The following is a 22,742-nucleotide window of genomic DNA, read 5'->3' as shown; positions in this document are numbered from 1 at the left end:
AGCATATAAAGATCTTTTTCTAAATATGCATTTTATAATTTTACTGAAAAAATAATATTGCTATTTTGTGGCTTTTTTTCCAGATACTTTGAGAAAATTCTTACAGAAGGCATATGAATCCAAAATTGATTATGACAAGGTAATTTTTCATTGGTGTATTTATTATTAAAAATACGAAGTATGAGAAAAATTTTGGCTGACTTGAAAGTAAATCTTTAAATAACCAGTTATTCAATCTGCAATTTTAGTAATCTTTTTTGACTAAGAACTTTCATGGAATATTGAACCACCTTACAAATCCCATTTGAACCATAGCAGAAAGTTCAAAAGCGGCATTTGAAGAAAACCTTTCAAGTTGTATGTTACTTAAAAATTAAAAACTAAGGCCGGGTGTGGTGGCTCACGCCTGTAATCCCAGCACTTTGGTAGGCTGAGGCGGGCAGATCACCAGGTCAGGAGTCTGAGACCAGCCTGGCCAATATGGTGAAACTCCATCCCTACTAAAAATACAAAAATTAGCCGGGCGTGGTGGCACTCGCCTGTAGTCCCAAGTATTCGGGAGGCTGAGGCAGGAGAATCGCTTGAACCCAGGAGGCAGAGGTTGCAGTGAGCCGAGATGGTGCCATTGTACTCCAGCCTGGGTGACAGAGTGAGACTCCATCTCAAAATAAATAAACAAATAAATAAATAAAAACTAAAATTTCTTCAAAAAGAAATATTACGCTACTTTTCTTTTAGCTGAGGGATGAGAACTCCCTCATTAAGTAGAATTGTTTGAAAATTCCTAGAGATGGTGACTGTGTACTCTGTTATAAAACATCGTTTGTTAAAAAGTAGCTTTGCATTTGTATAAGGTTTATGAAGCTCCTGCTGTGTGAGGACATGGCTAGAAATGAAGGAAGGTGGAGATAAGGATGATAGCCTTTGGTCTCAAGAGGCTAGAAGACAGATAGCAGGGACCTTATCTAGTTAATGTAACAAGGATCATACAAGGGCAGAGCCGGTGGGATGGGTGGGCGCTCTTCTCACATTCCAGGCTTCAGAACATGTGAGCAAAGAGGTCAAGGTATGAAAGAAGCAGGCCCCTGGCCAGAGGGAGAGAAAAAAAGGTAAGTTGGGGCCTGATCCTGGGAGGGCCTTGAACGCCTCTCTTGAGTGAATCCATAGTATTTTCAGAAAGTATCAAGGCTCCTTGCATTTTTCTGCTTATTACCCAAGTTGCTGCCAATGCACTCCTCTGCGACTGCCTACCTAAACAGGAGAATGGTCTTTCGATTTTGGTGTGTTATGACTGTAGGTTGCCCATGAAGCAAACAGACAAAAGTGTGTAGCACTGAATGTAAGGTAATAAAAATTAGTTAAATGTGTTGGCCAGGTTCTCAGTCCTTCTCGGTAAGTAAAGCACTTTGTTCCTTCCTTTCCTGGTTTGAAGGCGGTTATCGGGCTACCAGTAAGCAGATGTATAGGTGGACGTTTTTTACTGGCCTGCACAACAAATCTGAATGCTAGTGTTTCCGGCATGGGAGAAGGCAGTTCCCTTTTGCCCAGTGAATCGTTACCTCAGATACGGTAGTTACAAATGGCCTCATCATATTCTTAACTTGCAAGAAAATTATACTCAAGAGAAAAGTAAATGCAGAAGAGGAAAGCCTTATCTAGAGGCTGTTTACATTCAGCAAGGGAAGACTGTGTGGAAGATGAACTGAGCTGTTCCCAGGGCTCACAGCCTTCCCCAGCACCGTGGAAAGCATTTTCATTCCTCAGTGCCACAGGCTTCATTTATATCTCCCAATGTGATTGTCACGTCGGCCTGTATCTCTGGGGGGAAGAAAATGACAGTTGCTTTTATATTTATATTCAAAATTAGCATAACATGCTTAGCCAGCCCGAATGCCAACCAAGGAATGAGAGTAGGGGCAGTGCTTCAGTGGGATCCGGGACTTGGAGAACGAGGTCCTGAGACCCTTAGGTGGCCTTGAGGAACCTGTGAGTCTGAGCTGGAGCTGGGCTGCCACCGTCCCTGGCAGGGTCTTTGTGCTTGACTTGGTATTAGATTTGGCACTCCCATAACCTTGGTTTATACCCCTGGCTCCTGCTCTCTTTCCTTGCCTTTGCAAATGAATAAAAACTCTGGGTGGGGGTGCAGTGGAGAGAAGATGCAGAACTGAGCCCACATGAATGAGCTGATTCCTACTCTAGATGTGGAACTGGACCATGCTTTCTACCATTATCCAAAGAAAGAGGTTAATTAAACAAAGGCACCAAAGGATCCAGGCCACATCTAGAGGAGGGCTTTCTGACTAGATTTAGTCTGATAAAGGCTGAGTGTGTTGGGTTGGTTCCCCCTGAAGCAGACCCTACACCAATGACTCCAGGGCAAGTCGTTTATTTGGGAGGCTCAGGGAACACAGATTCCTGGTCTTACCCATATCTTCTGACTCATGTGCTGTAGCAGAGGAGCCCAGGAGTCAATGTTTTTCTTTAACACACACTGTGAGGTGCTTCTTTGTGTCTGGTGAGCTTGGGAGCTTGTGCCCTGGTTGGTAACAAGCCTGCGTGCCCCTTCCCCAAGAAAGGGAGACCGGGATCATTTAAAATGCCCTGTGTGACCCCAGAGGCAGGTATATCTGAACTGCCCCCCAGTCCCAGTATTTTGGATGCCTCATTTAAAAGTGATTCCCATCACAAATGGTGTTCCCTCAGAGCTGTGAAGATCTGCCAGCTGAGGCAATAGTTTCTACACTTTTAGATTTCCTGGACCAGAATATTTCAAAAAAGTGATCTAGAAAATGACATAGAGCCACCTAATTTTATTTTGCCACGAAAGGACATTTAAAATCAAACATTGAGATGTTTGGAATAAAAATGGTGGGAATCCGTTGATCGCTTTAAGCATGGGAATAACACCATCAGATTTTTATTTTAGAAAAGGGCACTTGGGAAGATGCTGCCGTTGGTTCTGGAGTTCTCAGATCTGATTCTCTATTTTATGAAGATCACATGGTTAGTGTGTTAAGCATTTGTAACTTCCCCTCTAATTCTCCTTTGCGTAACCGATTAGCATACGGATTAAGAACCTTTTGGGAAATCCAAATGTAAATGCAAATGTAAATTTCAGAACTCAGAGCAACTTAAAACACTGTTTCTTGAATTCACACTCAAGTTTTATATTCCTTTCTCATGTTTATCCTTCTATCACCCAATTTCCTCCTTGTGGGATATGAATGTTCTTGGTTATGGTTGATCACTCATAACTTTTTCTGTCTGTTTTCTTGATGCATGCTGCCTCTGCCAAAATTCCTCACCTGCGTTGACTTCTACAGCCAGAAACTGTAATCTTAGGTCTAAAGGTAAAGTCCTTGTCTGCTATTTCAAGTTGCTCTTGGAAAGCCTTTCTGTTCTTCACTGTCATCCTCACTGTGAAGATTTTTAAATGATCCGTTTCATTTCTGTTTTTACCATCACTTTTAACCTTCTCTTTGAAGAAAGATATCTCTGTAATATTTACATGTTGATCTTCAACACAATCAACAAAGCACTGGAAGATCTTGGTGTATCAAAAAACAGTTTAAGTAGTGACAGGCCTTCGTCTAGTCGGCCTAGAAGTGAACTCTTGAAATGCCGTATCTTGTTCCTGATACTGCCTGATATTTAGTCAGTAACATTAGAAAGGCTGTGTTATCAAATGTACAATTTGTATTTAAAGCTAAAATTAGTGCATTTAAAACATTTCAATATATCTTCTCTCCTGGGTTTTGGTTCAGTGTCTCCTGGAATTCAGATAGAATTTACATTTCTTTAAAATAGTAAACAATTTAGAATATTTGCTGAGAAATGATGGAAAAATACGTAAGTAAGAGTTTGGAATGTCTGGGCTGGTTTCTTAACTGACAAGTGGTATTGGTCCTCGAGGAAGGGTTAAGTCCCCTAATAATGCCTCTTCGTGGACATGGGATGGGGGTTAGCTTAAGCGTGAGCACATACTTGATGAACCCAGCAAGATTCAGCCACTCTTTTTTTTAAGCAATTTAATCTTAATATGGAAGTAGATAATATTCAAGTGCCAGATGCACCAGATTTACTAGTCTTGAGCATTTGCTCATAGAGTTAACTACCATTTATTGAATATCTACTGTGTGCTGGGCACTTGGCTAGTTGTTTTCACATTCAGTCATTTAGTTATTTGTCCCTCACAATATGTTTATGAAGTTAATGCTAATGTGACACCATCCACTTTAGGGACCTGGAAGCCCCCTGCTGGGATGTAAAGCAGGTCTCTCCTCCAAGACATCACATTTGCTCCCAGGAACAAGACTCGTGTTTTATTTTCCTTTGCTCAGCTTGGCTTCAGAATTCGCAGCTGTCTAGATTGTCCATTTAGTTGCAAACTGCCAACTTGCAATTTTCTGCCATTCTTTAGAAATATAAGCAGCTACATGCATGAATTGGAATGACATCAAGTTTCATCATCTAGTTGCATTAATTTTCGTTTATCCCGGAATAAAGTCAGCAGTGATTATGAAAATATGTTTAGGTCACATGATTGTATCTAGAAATTGTGCTGTTCCTAGGAACTCAGGAACCGTCTGAGACACGGACTGCCAAGGTCGGTCCTTCACTGTGGATCTGGCTCCTGGGCATGGCATGAGAGGCACCTTTAGTAAGTGTCTACTCAGTGCTTGGTCCTTTGTCACATTATTTCTAATCATGCGTTATCTCTAATTTTCACAATGACTTGACAAGGTACGTATTATTATTTCCAGTGTATCAGAGGAGGAACCTTGTGACTGGCCTGTGTTTAACGTGCCTGACTTAGAGTCTGAGCCTTTTTTCTAAATTAAGATACATTCCAGATTCTTGAGTAATTGTTTGCCAGCCAATCCAAAGTGCTTTGAATCTTTAACTTCTATTTTTGCAGTGTGCAAAGCGCCTTATATGTAGATTGTTATGCAAGTACTCCTGCCAAGATTTATTGATCCATTTAAAAACAAACAAAATACCTTTGGGGTTAAAATTAAACCATTTGCAGCTCAAACTAGCATTTAGACATCTTCCTAGGGGTTGAAAGACATCTTCCAGTAACCACTTGGCCATGTATTTAATTACTCAATTCTCTGCTTCCTCTGTTTCAAAAAGGAGTTTCAAAATGGAAAAAAATACATACATATATATATATATATATGTACACATTCAGATTCAACTAATGATGGCAGATAGGTTAAAAAAATGAAACATGGCCAGGTGCGGTGGCTTACACCTGTAATCCCAGCACTTTGGGAGGCTGAGGCAGGTAGATTGCTTGAGGCCAGGAGTTCAAGACCAGCCTGGACAACATGGTGAAACCCTGTCTCTACTAAAAATACAGTACTCGGGAGGCTGAGGCCCAAGAATCGCTTGAACCCAGGAGGCAGAGGTTGCAGTGAGCCGAAATCGCGCCACTGCGCTCCAGCCTGGGCAACAGAGCGAGACCCTGTCTCAAAAAAAAAAAAAAAAAAAAAGAACTTTGTACACCATGGAATGTTCTACTTATTATTTTGTGCTACAATATGTGCTGTTTCTTTTGTTTGAATTGCAGATTGTCTACTATGAAGCAGGGATTATTCTATGCTGTGTCCTGGGGCTGCTGTTTATTATTCTGATGCCTCTGGTGGGGTATTTCTTTTGTATGTGTCGTTGCTGTAACAAATGTGGTGGAGAAATGCACCAGCGACAGAAGGAAAATGGGCCCTTCCTGAGGAAATGCTTTGCAATCTCCCTGTTGGTGATTTGTATAATAATAAGGCAAGTACAATATTGGACAACAACTGATTGTGTTTTAGGCTGATGAAGAGTGTCTCACATTTTTATGGTTAAACCATGAGTTTAAAACTAAACAAAATAGCAACAATGAAAAAAAAACCCACCAAACAGAAAAGAGAGAGCACAAGCGCTTGTCTAGAGTGATTCGAAAGGATCTCATTATCATCAGACATTAGCGTTGTAATGAAGCTGCCCCAGCTGAGCTGATGAGCCAGCCCTTTGGTATTTTTTTCCTCTTGAAGGTATCCTGAGAAATCTTGGACTGCAGAAAGGACTTACCTCCCAGCACAGCAGACTCCTCTTAATTAGCTATTTGCAGGCAGGCAGCATGCAGAAAAGAGAGATGGATCTGCAAGTTGATTTGCTAGTTGAGTCCAAAGGAATCTTGATGGACTGATGCAGTCCCTGAATTTGGAAATTTGAAAATATTGTAGAATGCAATTGACTTTCTAATAATAAACTCATTTTTCTTTTATGTGCTGTTAATCCGCTACCCTCCCTTAAGTCTGGAACACACTTCACGATTTAGGGTATTTCTGCTGCAGTGTCTGCTGCTTTCAAAAGTTTTCCAGTTGACTGGCAGATCAGAAATACATTGCTTTTAAGATGACGTTTTTTCGAGTCCAAATTAGATTGCTCATCTGAAGATGAGTGCGCCACAGCAGTGTTCCCTTGTTATGTTGCTTGGTTATTGTTCCACATTTCCTCATTCATTCCGCCACTGTTTCATGCAGCAGCAGAAATCAATGTGCCTATGACATGAAGGCACAGCAAGGGTTGGCCAACAGCATTCTCTTTGTTGTTTCTCCAAACACCACACGTGCTCAGTAGCCGTAAGATTTTTTTCAAGTTTTACTAAGGAAGTGATATTCAGGAATTTTAACAGAAAACAGTAAGTCCTGTGAGTTGGAGTTCTAGCTGCAAACCCAAGAAGGAAAGCCTTTAAGTGTGGCCACCAGCAGGGGTCTGATAAGATGTGTATGGCTTAGGGTGACCACTCATTGGAATGCAGTGTACCCATTGAAGAGGACTGGGCAGCTCTGGATTTGTTGATACCAGTCACCATGACAGATGAAGTGAAAAAGCAGGTTGCAGACCATGTGTAGAACATGGTAACTATGTTAAAAAAAAAAAAGATCAGGAAGGAGACACAAGCACTGGGTCATATTTTTATAGAGCAGATGGGATGTGAAAGGGTTGACAAGAAACTGGCAACAGTGGTTGCCTCTGGAAAGGAAATTGAGGGTTGTGGAGGGGAAGGAAGGAAACTCATTTCTTGCTGTAGCTGGGCTTTTTGTCTCTTTTGATTATGTACCAGGCTCGGGTATTACCTATTGAATTAACTTAACTGAAACTTGAACAGTGACAAAAAAAATCTTCACAACAGACAAAGGCCAATGCATTACCACTTACTCCAGGGCAGTGACTATTTAAGCAAAGACATACTTTTGCTCATAATAGTGGAATAATCGACCTTAACTATATATGTGTGTAAACAAGATCCAAGTGAATGTGTTAGCTGACTTCATGCATTGTTGGTTAGCCTGAGAGTTACTTGTTTTGTCTCCATGACATTGGGGTGTGGGCATCTCTGCCTGTCAATCTCTCTCTCCCTCTCTCTCTCTCTTTTCTTCCCTTTTCTGTCTCTCCTTGCCTCTCTGTATTTTTCTGTCACTGTCTGTCTCTTTCTCTGTGTCTCCAAAAATCATTTGATCCTTGCTATTTTTTTCACATTTGATTTTGAGAGGCAGTTTGGGATCAGGTCAGTAGTGGTCATTCCAAATGTCCCTGTCTCTCTCTGCTTTGTATTTGATATACTCTAAGGAATGCACAGACTCCTAGTTATAGGGGTAGTTACCTCTTTTTCAGCTACCAGAAGAATCTCGGTTACAGCCCTGAAACCTGTCAAACCCACCAGGGATCCCTGGTGTGTTTCCTGTAAGCCTGAAACTTACACGCCACATTTGTCTAGACACTTGCACAGCCATGTTTACCCGCTCCATACACCCTGGACCTCAAAGATGAGACTCGGATGTGAAAGCATCATCTGAAAATATTGCCCTTAGGGCTTCTAGTTAGAATGATTACTTATTTAACAAGTTAATAATTTTCACTTGATGTCAATACATATAGTATAATTTCAGGAAAATTCTTTATTGAATGTAGTTATTTATTTACCTGAATAAGTGTTTACATGTGTAATAATCGGTTTCCAATATATTGGGTTTCTTTGTTTTTTTGAGACAGAATCTCGCTGTGTCACCCAGGTTGGAGTGCAGTGGCGCTATCACAGCTCACTCCAACCTCCGCCTCCCGGGTTCAAGTCATTCTTGTGCCTCAGCCTTCCTAGTAGCTGGGATTACAAGCATGCGCCACCAGGCCCGGCAGATTTTTGTATTTTTAGTAGAGACGGGGTTTCACCATGTTGGCCAGGCTGGTCTCAAACTCCTGGCCTCAAATGATCTGCCCTCCTCGACCTCCCAAAGTGCTAGGATTACAGGTGTGAGCCACCGTGCCTAGCCACTACAATGGGTTTCTTTTTCAAAATTGAACTTTTATTTGCATTACATATAGTTATGTGTTATGCATGTTATAGTTCACTCTCAGCTGATTGAGTTATTTACATTATGTTGAAAATGCCAAAATATATCAACAATAAAGCTACAAAGTAAAAAATAAACTTGGCTTCCATTTATATATAAAATGAAAGCTACCGTTTTGTTAATTCTTGAGAACTCAGACCTATCAAATCAATATATGTTTTTTCTAAGTATATTTTAATTTAGAAAATTCTTTTTAAAAATGCATGCTGTGATTCTATACCCTCCTACACATTCAGTTAAAACAATTTTTTTCCCCACCCAAGTAAAACATTAATGTGAAAATTGTAATTTTAGATTTCAATATAATTAAACCAAAATTGATCAACTGAGATTGTGACAAAACTAAAACTAATTTGATTTCATATAGCACATTGAATTTATGTATAAATTATAAATAGGCTTAAATAAGAGTAGTGTGTGAATTTTTTTTTCTCACTTTAAATTCTGATGAGAATTTAAGCTTCTTTGCCTTGAACTTTTTGATTTACGGTAGCTATTTTAATGGCTTCCTTTTGAAACCCCCACTGGTTTGCAAATACCTTAAACATCATGAGTTGCATAATACCTACATATTGTTTGCAAGTAATCCAAGCTAGGCAGGAGGATTAAAGACCTGGGGAAAGTTAAGATTTCTCTATTATGAGTAGTTAGACAGGAGAAGAAAGAATGTCAACAAAATCAGAAGATTAGATAAAAATAAGAAGGACAAGAATGTCAACAAAATTGGAAGGCAGAAAGGGAAAGAAAGGAAGTGGAGGGAAAGATAGGAGAGTGGACTCTCTCTTGTTTAATGCAGGGCCTCTAGCTGACATTGACTTCAGCGGAGATGGGACACTATTGAGAAATAATCTTTGCATGTGATTTTTAAAAAATTCTTTCAGAAACCCAGAGCAGTCCACCTGCCTTTTATTGGACTCAATTTCATTTTGTGGCTCAAAATATTACAATTAAATGCAGTTGGTTTTCAAGTTAGTTTTGAGCATCCTTTTTTATTTTAAAAAATGTAAATCTTTTCTTTAGGGGGTGAAGGGAAGACATAGGTGTTAAGGAGAAAGATGCCCTAGCAGATGTGCAATCTACGTGGGCATGTTCTTTCTCTGAGGGTTCCCAGAGGCAGCTGTGGAATGTGAGAATTCCGTAGACACTGACATATGTTTATGCAGTCTGTTTGACCATCAGCACAAGATCGAATTTCCACCCCTCACTGTAGACTGTTAAGCAGATGTGTCTTACTCCAGAAAAAGCCAACTTTCTTCTCCTTTCTTTCTTTTTGCTTGTCACCGCTGCATTTCTCATAAAGGTTATGGAAGGAAAAAAAAAAACCATGACTTGACTTCCTTTGTATGTTTCTAAGTTTCTGAGTATGATAAGCCAGTCTTGCTAATAATTCCCATGGTGAATTGAATTCCAGTCATTTTCAGGAAGCTGGCTATTTTCAAAGTTCATTTTATACTAGGACGTGATTGCCAATTCCTGAATGGGAGGCTACAAGGTTGTGGAAAAAAGATTGAGCTAGATGTAGCAGTCCTGAAAATCATGAAACTTTCTTCATGTGAATGAGGTCTGGTTACTTACAGTTTAAATGTAATTTTTCTGTTTTTTAATAAGAGAGCTGTTATAGACTGAAAGCATTTGTTTGGCTTTCTTTGGCTAATTTTATTAAATCAGTAGAAATTGGTAAGAGCAATACAGTTACAAGTTTTAAAGTAAAGGTTTAAAAGTAAGGTTTAGCCTTACTCTGTAAAAAGCTTGTAAGTGTATATGTGAGAAAATTGTTTTTTCCATAATAAAATATGGAAGATGTAAGGCCATAAAAATAAAAATTCCTATCTTCTGCTAAAAATTCTAAGAGATTTTGTTGTACTGCTTAAAAGCATATGTTTTAGATTGTTTAAAGGCATTTATGTCAAATGCCAGAGAACTGATATTCACTGAAATATGATTTCCTTTTTGTGTTAGGTAAATGTCTCTTGGTATCATTGTATTCTAATAATTGACTGGAGGTTGTTCAAATAAAAATATTTATTCACATACCTTTTTTTTGCTAAAAAATACACTGAACAACAGGGAGTGTCTAAATCAATACCTCAAAGCATAATTTCTTTGTTCTTTATTTGTGTTTGAATAGAAGGTTTAAATTTGAGATTGCACATGGAGACCATCAGTTGGTCTGCATAGTATTTAAATTTTTTTTGTTAGTTGCTAATATTTAAAAATTGGGATATTTCACATAAGAATCCAGATTCCCAGATTTTTGTGGATAATGGGAAGATACGGTAATATTTATCTGCCATCATGGTGGTGCTTTTGAGACCTGCAGATTTAGCTGCTCCTCCAGCCCATTTTTGATCTCCCAGCTCCCATGACCCCCTGCTACCCAATTTTTCTTTAATGCTTTCTGCCTGCTTACACAGGCATTAGAATTTAAATACAAAATTTACTTTGTGCATTAGTTTGAAAATCAGCTTTGAAAATCACTAACTTCTACTCTATAATTATACTTAGTAGAGATTTTTTTTCTTTTTCTCTTTAATAATGGGGTCTTGCTATATTGCCCATGCTGGACTTGGAACTCCTGGGCTCAAGTGATTATCCCATGTCGGTGTCCCAAGTAGCTAGGATTACAGGCGTGTGCCACCACACCCAGCTTAGTACAGTTTTTTTAAAAAATTATCAATGCTTTAATTTTAATTAGATCTATTATCGATTAGTAGAAATGTAGGTCTAAAATATGTAGCATTGAAATCGAGTGTTGTAGTGAAATGTATTGCAATTCATTTCACTGACTGATGATCTTGTGAGTAAGGACATTTATTCAATAAAGGCACAAAGACAGTTTCTGACTCACACTTAGACATACGGCCAGTCTTCTAAATAGCCCAAATGAAACCAAAGCTTGACCCCTAAACTCACCTTCCTGGAGCACCCGGTGTAGACAAGACTGCATTATACAAAGTTAACAAAGAAGTAGTTTCCACCTCTTTTTAGGAAAATTAAACATAGATAAGAATAAAGACACATTAGAGTCTGAAGTGAGACATATCCCATCAGAATTAAAGGGAGCCTCTGGGAGTTCAAGGCAAGGAGGTTCTTCTCCCTCTTGGGGATGGGTGGAGGGGTCAGTGAGGGTCAAGTGAAAGTGGACTTGGACTGGTGCTTTTCTCCCAAGTTCACTTTGACTTCTTGTATCTGGAATCTGACGAGTGAATAAAATAATCTGGGCATGCTGGGAAGAGAGAGCAAGAGTCCCCATTGTGAACATCAGGTATGTTCAGGTGGTGAGCCTGACTTGTCATGGTCTAGCATGTTTTGAATTTGGCATGGCAGCAAGCTCCAGGTGCATTGCTGACTCAACTTTTGTGTGTGTGTGTGTGTGTGTGTGTGTTTCTTCTTCACAAAACTCCAAAATCATTATTTTGAGTCATTTGACCTCTTTGGCATGAGTGCCTGATTTCATAACTCTTATTGCTGTAGTGCATTGACTCCCAAAATACCAATGCAAATTTAGGACAAATTATAAGGCGGTCATTCCAAATGGGACAGAATATTGTTAATATTTATTTTATAAGATTACCATCAGAATTAACCCAAACTTAAAAATCTTAGAGAACGTGTACATCCAGTACTACTCTCCTTTACAGCTTGAGAAGCACTTATCTAATCTAAGTTAGACTGGATCTAATTTATCTAATTACACCTAAAGATCTAAACTGATCTTTTCAGTTTGGAGGTACCAACTGGAGTCCACAGAAAGAAAGTGATTTTCTTTGGCTTGTACAGTACGGTGGTGGCAGGACAGGACCCAGAACCCAAATCTTGTGCCCCTAGTCTAGTATTCAGTACACTGCAACTTGTTGACCATAGGAAATATCCCTCAACGTTATATTACATAAACTTTTTTGGAGCATTTTGGGAAACCTAATAGACCTATGTTATACTGCAAAGGAAAAGTATGTTTTGAAACCAGTAATGAACCAATGCTCCTTGGAATGTATTTATACTATAAGTGGGGTGAATAACTGTCCCCATTTACCCAGGATGGAGAAATGGGACATGGGATTTTAGGTACAAAAAATGGGATGTTTAGTCATCCTACCCGTAATTATATGCACGATAAAGCCTCAAGACATTGCTTTTGCTGAAGAGGCAATGTATTGATTTTCTGCATCTGATATGTTTTTAAAGTTTGCCTATTATTTGCAAAACTTTAGTTCTAAAACCATATCTACATCTTCCACTGGATGATTACAAACTAACAAGTTTTTTACTTGCTTCTGCAGGTAAAAATAGTTCGGCTATGTTTATGTAGTTCCTTACTGCCATCTAGTGGCCAAATTCAACAGAACCTTGGCAATTAGCACCTTCTAATGGAACGTTTTTTGCCACAAAAACAGGCCAATTGGTCAAATTATTTTAAGTCAAAGGATTATTAGTAACTAGTCAACAGTAAGAGCCCTTAAAAATTATTACATTAGACATTTTAGATGGCTTGAAAAAAGACGTTTTGGTTTTTTCACATAGAGAAGGCTTTCCTGTAAGATGCCTTTCATATGGCGTTTTTGCAGCTTTTTTTGAAGTATATTTCACATGGAGGAAAGTGTCCTTTTCACAAGTACATATGCGTAAGTGTCCATGAAGTGAATCCACCCACGAACAGAGTACTCTGCCATTCTACCCCTGCTCTGGGCATAACCACTGACTTCCAGCACCACCGTTTCACTTGTTTTTGCACTTTCTGTAGATGAAATAAAACATAGGTGCTCTGTTGTATGTGGCTTCTCACATACCATTTTAATGCTAAAGTAACTCATGTTACTTTCCAACCTGGACAATACAGGCACTAACAGACAATTAGAGAAACCAAAAGCCTTAGAAGCCCAAGTACTCTTAACCATTTTGATGTTTTTTTCTATAGCCTTCTTTGGGGGGTCAGGGAGCAGAAGTGTGTGTGTGTGTGTGTGTGCGTGTGTGTGTGTTCACACACATGCATATGTTCACACAGGAGGGTGTGTACACACATTCACATGAGGACAGGAATGGGACTGGATCATGCATGCTGCCTTATAACCTTTTTGCACCTATTTCCTCCACAATTTGTTGTGAACATTGTTCCATTGACGAGAGTCATTTTGAACAGAATGGAAATTTGCCTCCTCTGAGAGGACTGAGTCCTGTTTTGTAGCCCCTACGTGGGTGGTGGTTTGACTGTGGGATGGCGGTGGGAAGGATGTGGGAGGAGAGGGCAGCGGGAGAGGAAAGGCCAGTCCTTCTGCGGGCTCCTCCCTGACTCCTGCTCTGCTGCCTGGACCTGGACAAAGAACCATGGACCACACAGTAAATGCTCTTTCTTCTCTCTGCCTTTTCCTGCAGCATTGGCATCTTCTATGGTTTTGTGGCAAATCACCAGGTAAGAACCCGGATCAAAAGGAGTCGGAAACTGGCAGATAGCAATTTCAAGGACTTGCGAACTCTCTTGAATGAAACTCCAGAGGTAAAAACCATCATCTCTATGTACCGCGATGCTTTATATTTTTGGTTTTTTGGAGTTCCTGTGTATATTTGGAATCTCAATCAAACCTTCTAGAAACACAGTGAATCAGCGTAGACTGGTGTTATCTGTTAATGTCCTGGATGAATAAATAAAGCCCTGGAAAGTGATTTTCAAGAGTACAAAAGCCGAATTTCAGAATTGGTGTTTTTATTTTATTGAGATATAACTTAACATTACAGTACATATTATAGAAGGACTTAACACTTTTAAGGTTCTTATGATTTTTTAAAAAAATGAAAGTTTTTGGGCCTTATTATCCTTTCTTTTTGGCAGTATAGTTAACTTTCCATCACTTGTACAAAGTTACTCTTGTAATGAAACCATCCAGCTTTATAAACATCCATTTGCTAATGTCTGCATAGATATATCGAATTCCTTGGGAAGGACACACAAGCAGTCTCTATCACACACACACACATACACACACACACGTACACATACTCACGGACACACAAATTGTCTTTAGAGAAGGGCAATGGGATGGTTGAAGGTTGGGGATGGGAGAGGAAGTACCCTTTCTTCTGTATTCCAGAAGTATGTTGATGAATTACCTATTCAGAACATCGTTTTAAAAAGTGTCTGGGCAGGAAGCAGCCTAAATGTGTGATGCTCATGGGTTCCAACTTGTCAGAAAGCAGAAAGGTTTCTAGGAACTTGCTGGTTACCTGAAAATGTCCTGATTCAGGAAAACTTTTGTATATTAAATCTCTTTTTGCCCTCTTATTGCCTTTGGACCTTAGAAGGGGAGGTTTCACAGAATGTTCTTTTTTCAGCAAATCAAATATATATTGGCCCAGTACAACACTACCAAGGACAAGGCGTTCACAGATCTGAACAGTGAGTAAAATTTAAAGTTGCTTCACATTTTTTTTCTTTGTTTTGACTCATCTCCCATAAAACATGGACTAAGAAATGACGTACGTGAAAGTTGGGGGAAGACAGAAAGATGATTCCCTAGCCTTATTGCCAATGTGTCATTTGTTACTCAGCGATTAGAATCTAGCCCTCATCGAAGGCATCTGTTTCACAGGCAGCAGGACCTTTTGTTTTTTCATTTTACACTTACTGGAAAGCTTTAGCATTCTTGCAGTCACAAGCTCTCATTCTCCATTTCCTTCGTGAGGGAAAGATTGTTTTCCTGCCAGGTGCCCTGCACAGACGCAGCCAGCTCCTCAGAGAAACCGGTGGCTTCAGAAATGGCTGGATGGAGAGGGCTCAACCCTGCATGCCACGGTTTAGCTTAGTGCTTCTCAACTGGGGGTTGATGTTTGGCACATTTGGTGACATCTGGAGACATTTTGGGTTGTCACAATGAGGTGAAGGTGGGGTGGGGACAGTGCTACCAACATCTAGCGTGTCAAAGCCAGGGATGTCTCTAAGCATCCCGTAATGCTCACAACAGCCCCCACCAGAGTGCAGTCCAGGTGCGAACTCTGGTCTAGCCGAAGAGGTTAGATACACAGAGAGTTACACACAGGTCAAGATGATAACACCATGCTCCTGGTGAGTCTGTAGTGATTAATTTTTCACTGGGGAACAGTTGGTGCGGAGACCCTGAAGAGAAATCTCCATACACGAGTTTAACCCCTAGACAGGGTCCAGGATGCAAATGGGTTTTGCAGCAGGAGGGGCTTGAGGCAGTGTGGAGAGAATGAGGGAGGGGTGGAGAGATGAGCAGAGGCCACCCTCACCATCTTTGTGCTTATTTGCATGTAGGTATCAATTCAGTGCTAGGAGGCGGAATTCTTGACCGACTGAGACCCAACATCATCCCTGTTCTTGATGAGATTAAGTCCATGGCAACAGGTAAGCAGTGGGCAAAAATGACCAAAGAAAGTTCCATCCAGGAGTCCCTGGGCTTGGCAGGCTTGCTCACTCTTTTCTTGTTCCCTGAGAGCTGGCTTGGGGAGAGCCACCGTCCGTGGCCATGCAGACAGTTCAGGTCAAGACACTGTGTTGCAATAGCTTGGTGGTGCTCTTTATTAAAGCTTGTGCCAAAGCTGTTGCCATTTCAGATGATAGGGCGGAATTTGTTAGGGGCCCACCACCTGTTTTTTAAACACAGTTTTATCGGAACACAGCCATACGCATTTGTTTAGATATCATCTGTGGCCGTTTTCGTGCTATGATGGCAGAGTTGAGTCGTTGGAAGAGACATAGTGTAACCCACAAAACCTAAAATATTTACCGTCTATCTGGCCTTTTATAGAAAAATTTGTTGACCCTGATACAGAAGACGAGGAACCTATAGACATTTAGGTCAATCAGAGGGAAATTGATTCCTTTTTCCTTCCTGAAAGAGAAACTTAGAAGCAAGAAATATACATATATATCTTAAGCCTCCATGGTCAATGGTATAAGTGACAGATATACTGATTTTAATAAACTGCATGCTCCACTGTAATGAAAAAAGACCTCCTAGGCCCTTCCTAATGTTGAGAAAAATGTCCTTGCTAGGTACTTGATAGAGAGGACAATTACATCTATGTAAAACACTCATTTTGCCAATATGAATTTTACTTTCATGAGCTAGCATCCCTGAGAACATAGTCCATAAAGAAGAGAATTGCGTGGAAATTGGAAAATTATTCCAGTTCCTTTTGGCATGCCTTATAGTTCAACAACTGAGACAAATGTGCAGAAACTGGAGGACGTGCAGAACAGGCCAGGAGTTGTTAAGATGAGTCCTAACTAATTGAAAGGCCTTTCCTTCCCTTTCTCCTTGACCCTGCAAAGGGTCCAGCCAACAACAACATTCTCGACATCGACAATAACATCACGAACAACATCCTCTGTTGTTGATGGCTTAGATTTCTCTAGACATCTGTTCTCTTCATTACCAACCATTTTCTTTCCAGGCAAGGAAACGGAGGCCCAGAGAAGGGATATGACCTCAGAGACCATTGCCTCCTGCCTTCCTGTCCTGGCTTTTTCCACGTGGCTTCTCCATTCCTTCTTTCTTTCCTTCCTCCCTCCCTCCCTCCCTTTCTTTCTTTCCCTCCTTCCCTTCTTCCCTCCTTCCCTCCTTCCTTCCTTTCTCCTTCCCTCTCTCCCCTACTCCTTTCTTCCTTGCACACCTGGCCCCTGTCCATCATTCCAGTCTCATTTCCTGTCTGGGACACTCATCTCTGATGTCCCTTCCTCTTCTTGTAAGAACATCAGTTCTGTTGGATTAGGGACCCACCCTTATGACCTTATTTAACGTTAGTTACCTCCCTAAACTTCACATCAGTGGTTAGGGCTTCAACATACGAATCTGGGGGAGACATACTTCAGTCCATAGCAATTGGGTAGCTGGGGGAAGTGGTGGAGTTGGGATTCAGACCCCGTTCTAGCAAGAGCCCGTGTTACCTGGACCACCCTAGATGGGACTTAGTACCTTGAAGAGTGTTAAGATGGCGGGTGTTGTGGTGACATCCACAAGGAGGCAACACATGCACCTCTGGAGGGAGAATTGGAAATCTGGGATTCCAGTGCTCACATGGCCCCAGATGATGCCAGGCAACACTGCAGCCTGGATCCCTCGTGCGTCAGTGCGTTTGCAATATTGAACAAGATCTTTTTGTTTTCCAAAAGCTTCAAAGTATTTTATGTCTATAACATATTAACTGGGTTGTAACTCTGGGAGTCATTCCAGGCCCACCAAGCTCACATATATTATGTGACTGCAATGTTGAAGAGATCACATATATTATGTTCGCAATATTGAAGAGATCCAAGGTCTCTTCCAGCCCCAAATTAAGTAACAGTGAAGGCTGGGCAAAAGTATATGAATGATGGACTGTGGTTGATGCATACCTTTACTTTTTGCCCAATGTTCTTGCAATTTTTAGTAACTGAATTTTAGTACTTTTTAGGTAAAAGATAACTCAAAGATTCTCTTTTTCTCTTCAGTGCCTCGTGTGTTATTATTAAAGTTCTTTTTTTTTGTTTTTTTAATTCAGCTGGAATAAGTTAAAATTTAGCCTCTGGTGTTGCCAGAACTTCTTAAAACATGCTTAATAAACTACTCCAGCATTTTTTTTTTTTTTTTGGCTAAAAATGATTTGCAGCCCTGTGTGTTTAGTGGGTTTTGGAGAGAGCAGAAACATGCAATTATTTTGGTGTGCAAATCATATTTGGACTGCAGATCAGGACCTATAAAGGAAATATACTATGGGCTGGCAAAATGGTAATTAAGTAAAATTAAGAACCTTAGATATCTTTTCCACTTACTTCAGATACATAACATATATGATCCTGGTGGGCCTGGACTGACTTCCAGAGTTACAACCCAGTTAATAGTTTATAGACATAAAATACTTTGAAGCTTTTGGAAAACATGTATTTATTACTTCTGAGTCCTCCGTGTGACATGACAGAATATTATCCATGGGCTAGAATGGCTATGAACAGTGCTTAATACACATTTCCTGGGCCATGCATTTATTTTATCACCTGTCATTCTCTGTTGTTGTTGGTGGTGGTGGTGGTGGTTCTTGCCTTAAGATAACTTATCCTGAAGTCAAAGTGAAAAGGGCCGTGAGGAGTAAACCACAGAACATTAAAACATGAAGTGTGTTTTAGCCTGCTCTTTTGTGTTCTTCTGTGTATTTCTGAGTATTTCTGTGTATTTCTGGTGTATTTCTGTGTATTTCTGGTTGCAGCTGAGTTCTTTTCTGTTTTGCTGTGGTTAATATTTATTGAGCTTCTGCTATGATCCAGATACCAGACTTCATGCTTCACCGACAATACTGGATGATAGGTGGGAGAGATGAAAAACTGATACCCAGGGTGCTCTTCGATAGTCCTAAATATTATTACAACCTTAAATATTGTTAAGCTATGATTAGACTGAAATTCAAGAGAAAATACTGTTTGAAGCAGAGTTTAAGGTTTTCTATTCAGGTAAAGTGATAGAAATTTGAGACCAAGGAGGATACAGTTCAATTCTGGAAGCCTCCCCAGGTCTCTGGGTACATCCTCAAAGCTAGGTTGCAGTATCTAACCAGACCTAGTGAGCATGGGGGAGACCATCTCCTAAGAGCTCAGCCCCACAAGCTATTAGGGCACAACCTGGAATCAGACTCTTCTAGTAACCAGGAGGTGACCCAACACACTCCCTAATTTATAGATGAGACCAAGGTCCTGAGAAGTGAGAGTTTGCCAGATGTGCTGTAGCAGGGTAGAAGCAGAACTGGGATGCAACCTCGGGCTACTTTTGGCTAGACTCAACACGGAAACATTTTTAAAATGTGTGTGTGTGTGTGTGTGTGTGTGTATTTTTAACACTCAAGTATTTTCTGTTATGTGGCTGCCAGGAAAGGGTGGGGAAGCCAGTTTTTAAGGGCATTCATTCTTTTCCTTGAAACACCCAATTGCAGCTTGATCCTCCACCATCTGTTCTGTGAACCACAGAGCGAAGACCTGACCAAGAAGATTTATTTGCTTAGAAGAAGAGCAAAGCCCTCTAATTTAAATTTCACATCTTTTACTGCTGTGGCTTTAAGCCACTGTAGAAAAAAAGTTGTAATTCCCTACCTCCCTAGTCATGTATAGGTAGCTCCATCATCCAGATAGATCAGGATAGCAAACAATTTTTCTGGGTTTCCTGGTACTAGATGCCCCTCCAAATACACGATGGGGGTTACATCCCAATAAACCCATGGTGAACTGAAAACATTGTTTAAGTGGAAAATGCTTTTAATACACTGTAGAATATGCGTTGTTTGCCCTCTTGATTGCATGGCTGACTGAGAGCTGTGGCTCGCTGCCACTGCAAGAGAGTACCCTACCACATATCACTAGCCTGGGAAAGTTCAAAATTCAAAATTCAAAATTTGAAGTACGATTTTAACTGAATGCATATGGCTTTCCACTAACATAAAGTTGAGAAATCATAAATTGAACTGTTGTTAGTTGGGTACTCTCTGTATGAGAATGTGTCCTAGGGGGTAGGGTTTGCAAAATTAAACAGACCACTGCCTTTGAGGCATTTTCATCTGGCCGATCTAACCCCCATGTTGCATGATGAATGTGGTGGTGTTTCAGTACTTGAAGATGAGGAAATTGGCTCAGAGTGGTTCAGGAGCCTATTTTTAGTCACACAGCAAATAGCAAAGCTGAGATCCATGCCTAGACCTGCCTGAATCTAAAACCGTGCTCTTAACTACTGTGCTAGTTTTGATTCCAACTCTTAGAATAAATAGAGCTAAAATATATCTGGGCGTAATCCATTTTGATGTGCATTTACACTGCTGGGATTGACTTGTTTGGACTGAGCTCTTCGAGGCTGGGTGGTGACAACTTTGCTGGCCACTGCTGGCCAGTTAATGCTGCATTGAGGTGTCCCCATCATGCTCCTGGGTTGGTGCTTGCCCCCTGCTTCTTGTTGGAAAGAGACCCCAAGTGGAAGAGTGGAGCTAGTTGGAGCAGCTGTTAGAGCAGCCTAGCGATGCTCCTGTATTCCCCTCTCAGACTGCCCCTTGCAGTGTGTCCCTCTCACTGCCATCTAAAGTCATTTACCAGTCCATCCCAAGTCCCTTTAGACACACTTTTGTAGATGAGGAGGGACTTGGCATGTGTGTTCTGAAGCGGGCTGTGTTTCCATAGCGATCAAGGAGACCAAAGAGGCGTTGGAGAACATGAACAGCACCTTGAAGAGCTTGCACCAACAAAGTACACAGCTTAGCAGCAGTCTGACCAGCGTGAAAACTAGCCTGCGGTCATCTCTCAATGACCCTCTGTGCTTGGTGCATCCATCAAGTGAAACCTGCAACAGCATCAGATTGTCTCTAAGCCAGCTGAATAGCAACCCTGAACTGAGGCAGGTGAGCAGGCATGAGCTTGCCATGGTCAAGGGCTGCATGCTGGGGATTGCCGGGCAGGGCTAAGCGTGGGTGACCTATCCAGTGCATGGTGGCCTGACTTGGAGAACAGTTAGCCCCTGGCCTCTATCAGCCTTCTTGAGTCATTTGATCACCATATTGGAATGACCACAGCAGGAGCAAAGGAGTAAAAGGGAACCGCTTCATGAGAGTTCTCTGCCATTGAATGAAACATATCAGAATTAATTCAACTTTACAAAGAAAAAAGGAAACAGAATATATTCATGTAGACCTTTAAGAATTAAAAAATTTTTAAATATGTGCCTAGTCTATTAGCCATGTATGCTGAAATAGAAGAAAATTCGATTTTCCCAAAGAAAAGATTTTTTAAAAAGAATTTGGAACAACTTGGATTACATGAAGTTCTGAGATATAGGTAAAATGACCATGTCTATTAATGATGTCTAACTGATTTAGTTAGATACACACCTCACTTTTTTTTTTGAGATGGAGTCTCACTCTGTTTCCCAGGCTGGAGTGCAGTGGCACGATCTCAGCTGACTGCAACCTCCAACCTCTTGTGTTCAAGTGATTCTCTTGCCTCAGCCTCCTGAGTAGCTGAGATTACAGGCACCCGCCACCATGCCTGGCTAATTTTCGTATTTTTAGTAGAGACAGGGTTACGCCATGTTGGCCAGGCTGGTCTCAAACTCCTGACCTCAAGTGATCTGCCTGCCTTAGCCTCCCAAAGTTCTGGGATTACAGGCATGAGCCACCACGCCCGGACACCTCACATTTTATATAAAATAACATTTTAGTATAGATACATTTTTCTTACTTTTACATTTCATTCCATTGTTTTTCAGACATTTCACCTGCGACATCTGTGTCTGGATATCACTATAATCATTTTTGATTGAACAGTTTTTTAGAGCTTAGTTGCAACTGAGTTGTTTGAGATAGATCCTTTTGGGGTGCACTTTTTATTTTTAATATGTATCAAACATGTGGAAAACTTGCAAGATGAACGCATGGATCCCTGTTCACACCCTTTGGCCACATTCTTCAAGGGTCACGATTTTGCACCATTTGCTTTATCATATTTTATCAGTTTATCTGTCTGTTCATATCATTTAATATATACATGCATAAAATAATATGCATTTTGTTCTTTTCTCAAAAGGTAAGTTGGGGATAAGTTGTAGACATCATCATGCCTTTTTACCCCTAAATATTTTATTGTCCTTCCTAACTTTACATAATCATTATATAATGATCAAAATTAGGATAACATTGACCCGACACTACCATTTAATCCACAGTGTGCATTCAAATGTTGATCTTTCCAGAAATGCCTTTTATAACTATCTTCTCTTTTTCCAGTCTCAGGTCCAGGCCAGGATCACACATTGTCATTTATTGTCATGTCTCTTTCATTCCTGTTAATCTGGAACAGTTTCTAAGTATGCCTTTTCTTTTGTGACACAGACATTTTTGAACAGGCCATTTACTTTGTAGAATGGTCTTCAGTTTAGGGTTGTTTGATGTTTTCTTGGGATTAAAGTTACTCATATTTGCCAGGGAACTATCACAGTAGTGATATTATGTTCTTGGACATCATGTGGGAGGCATATGATGTTCGTCCCAGTATTGGTAGGAGCTAGAGAACTTCAAATCCATATATAATACTGTAAGTGGAAAAACGATTCCAGATTACTCACTAATATAACCACTGACTACATTGCTTTTAAAAGTGACTTTAAAAAGGTTGTTTACAATTTTATTGGACCATCTTTAGTATTTGAAGTTGTGAAGTCATATATATTACATTTGTGTTACATTTCTTTGCCTCTTTTTTTTAGCTGGTTACAGCAAGAGACCTCCAGACATCAAAAAATTAGTGCTTGTCAAGGAGGGTCTGAGCTGTGTTTTTCCGAAATAAAACTCTATTGTTCAAAAGAAACTGCGATTGTACCCTGTAGT

The 22,742-nt window shown here is 40.4% G+C and overlaps 1 protein-coding gene across 39 annotated transcripts in view; it reads left to right on the top strand.

Moving 5' to 3' along the window:
• Positions 1–22,742, top strand: part of PROM1 (prominin 1) — a 115,796-nt gene that overhangs the window by 44,939 nt on the left and 48,115 nt on the right. For 24 of the 39 annotated variants that reach the window (NR_199806.1, NM_001441179.1, NM_001441177.1 and 21 more), the window contains 6 exons: positions 84–139; positions 5,576–5,781; positions 13,773–13,893; positions 14,727–14,790; positions 15,670–15,759; positions 20,545–20,762. Coding sequence is in view for 37 of the 39 variants with exons in the window: in NM_001441177.1 (NP_001428106.1) it covers positions 84–139; positions 5,576–5,781; positions 13,773–13,893; positions 14,727–14,790; positions 15,670–15,759; positions 20,545–20,762 (755 nt within the window). In the remaining 2 variants the exon portion in view is untranslated. Of the gene's footprint in view, positions 1–83; positions 140–3,323; positions 3,351–5,575; positions 5,782–13,772; positions 13,894–14,726; positions 14,791–15,669; positions 15,760–20,544; positions 20,763–22,742 lie in introns of all 39 variants that reach the window. The other 15 variants (XM_011513902.3, XM_011513900.3, NM_006017.3 and 12 more) reach the window with 3 other exon arrangements.

Source organism: Homo sapiens, chromosome 4, assembly GCF_000001405.40.
Source record: "Homo sapiens chromosome 4, GRCh38.p14 Primary Assembly".
Taxonomy (NCBI): Eukaryota; Metazoa; Chordata; class Mammalia; order Primates; family Hominidae; genus Homo; species Homo sapiens.
This window is presented reverse-complemented; position numbering and strand designations above follow the sequence as displayed.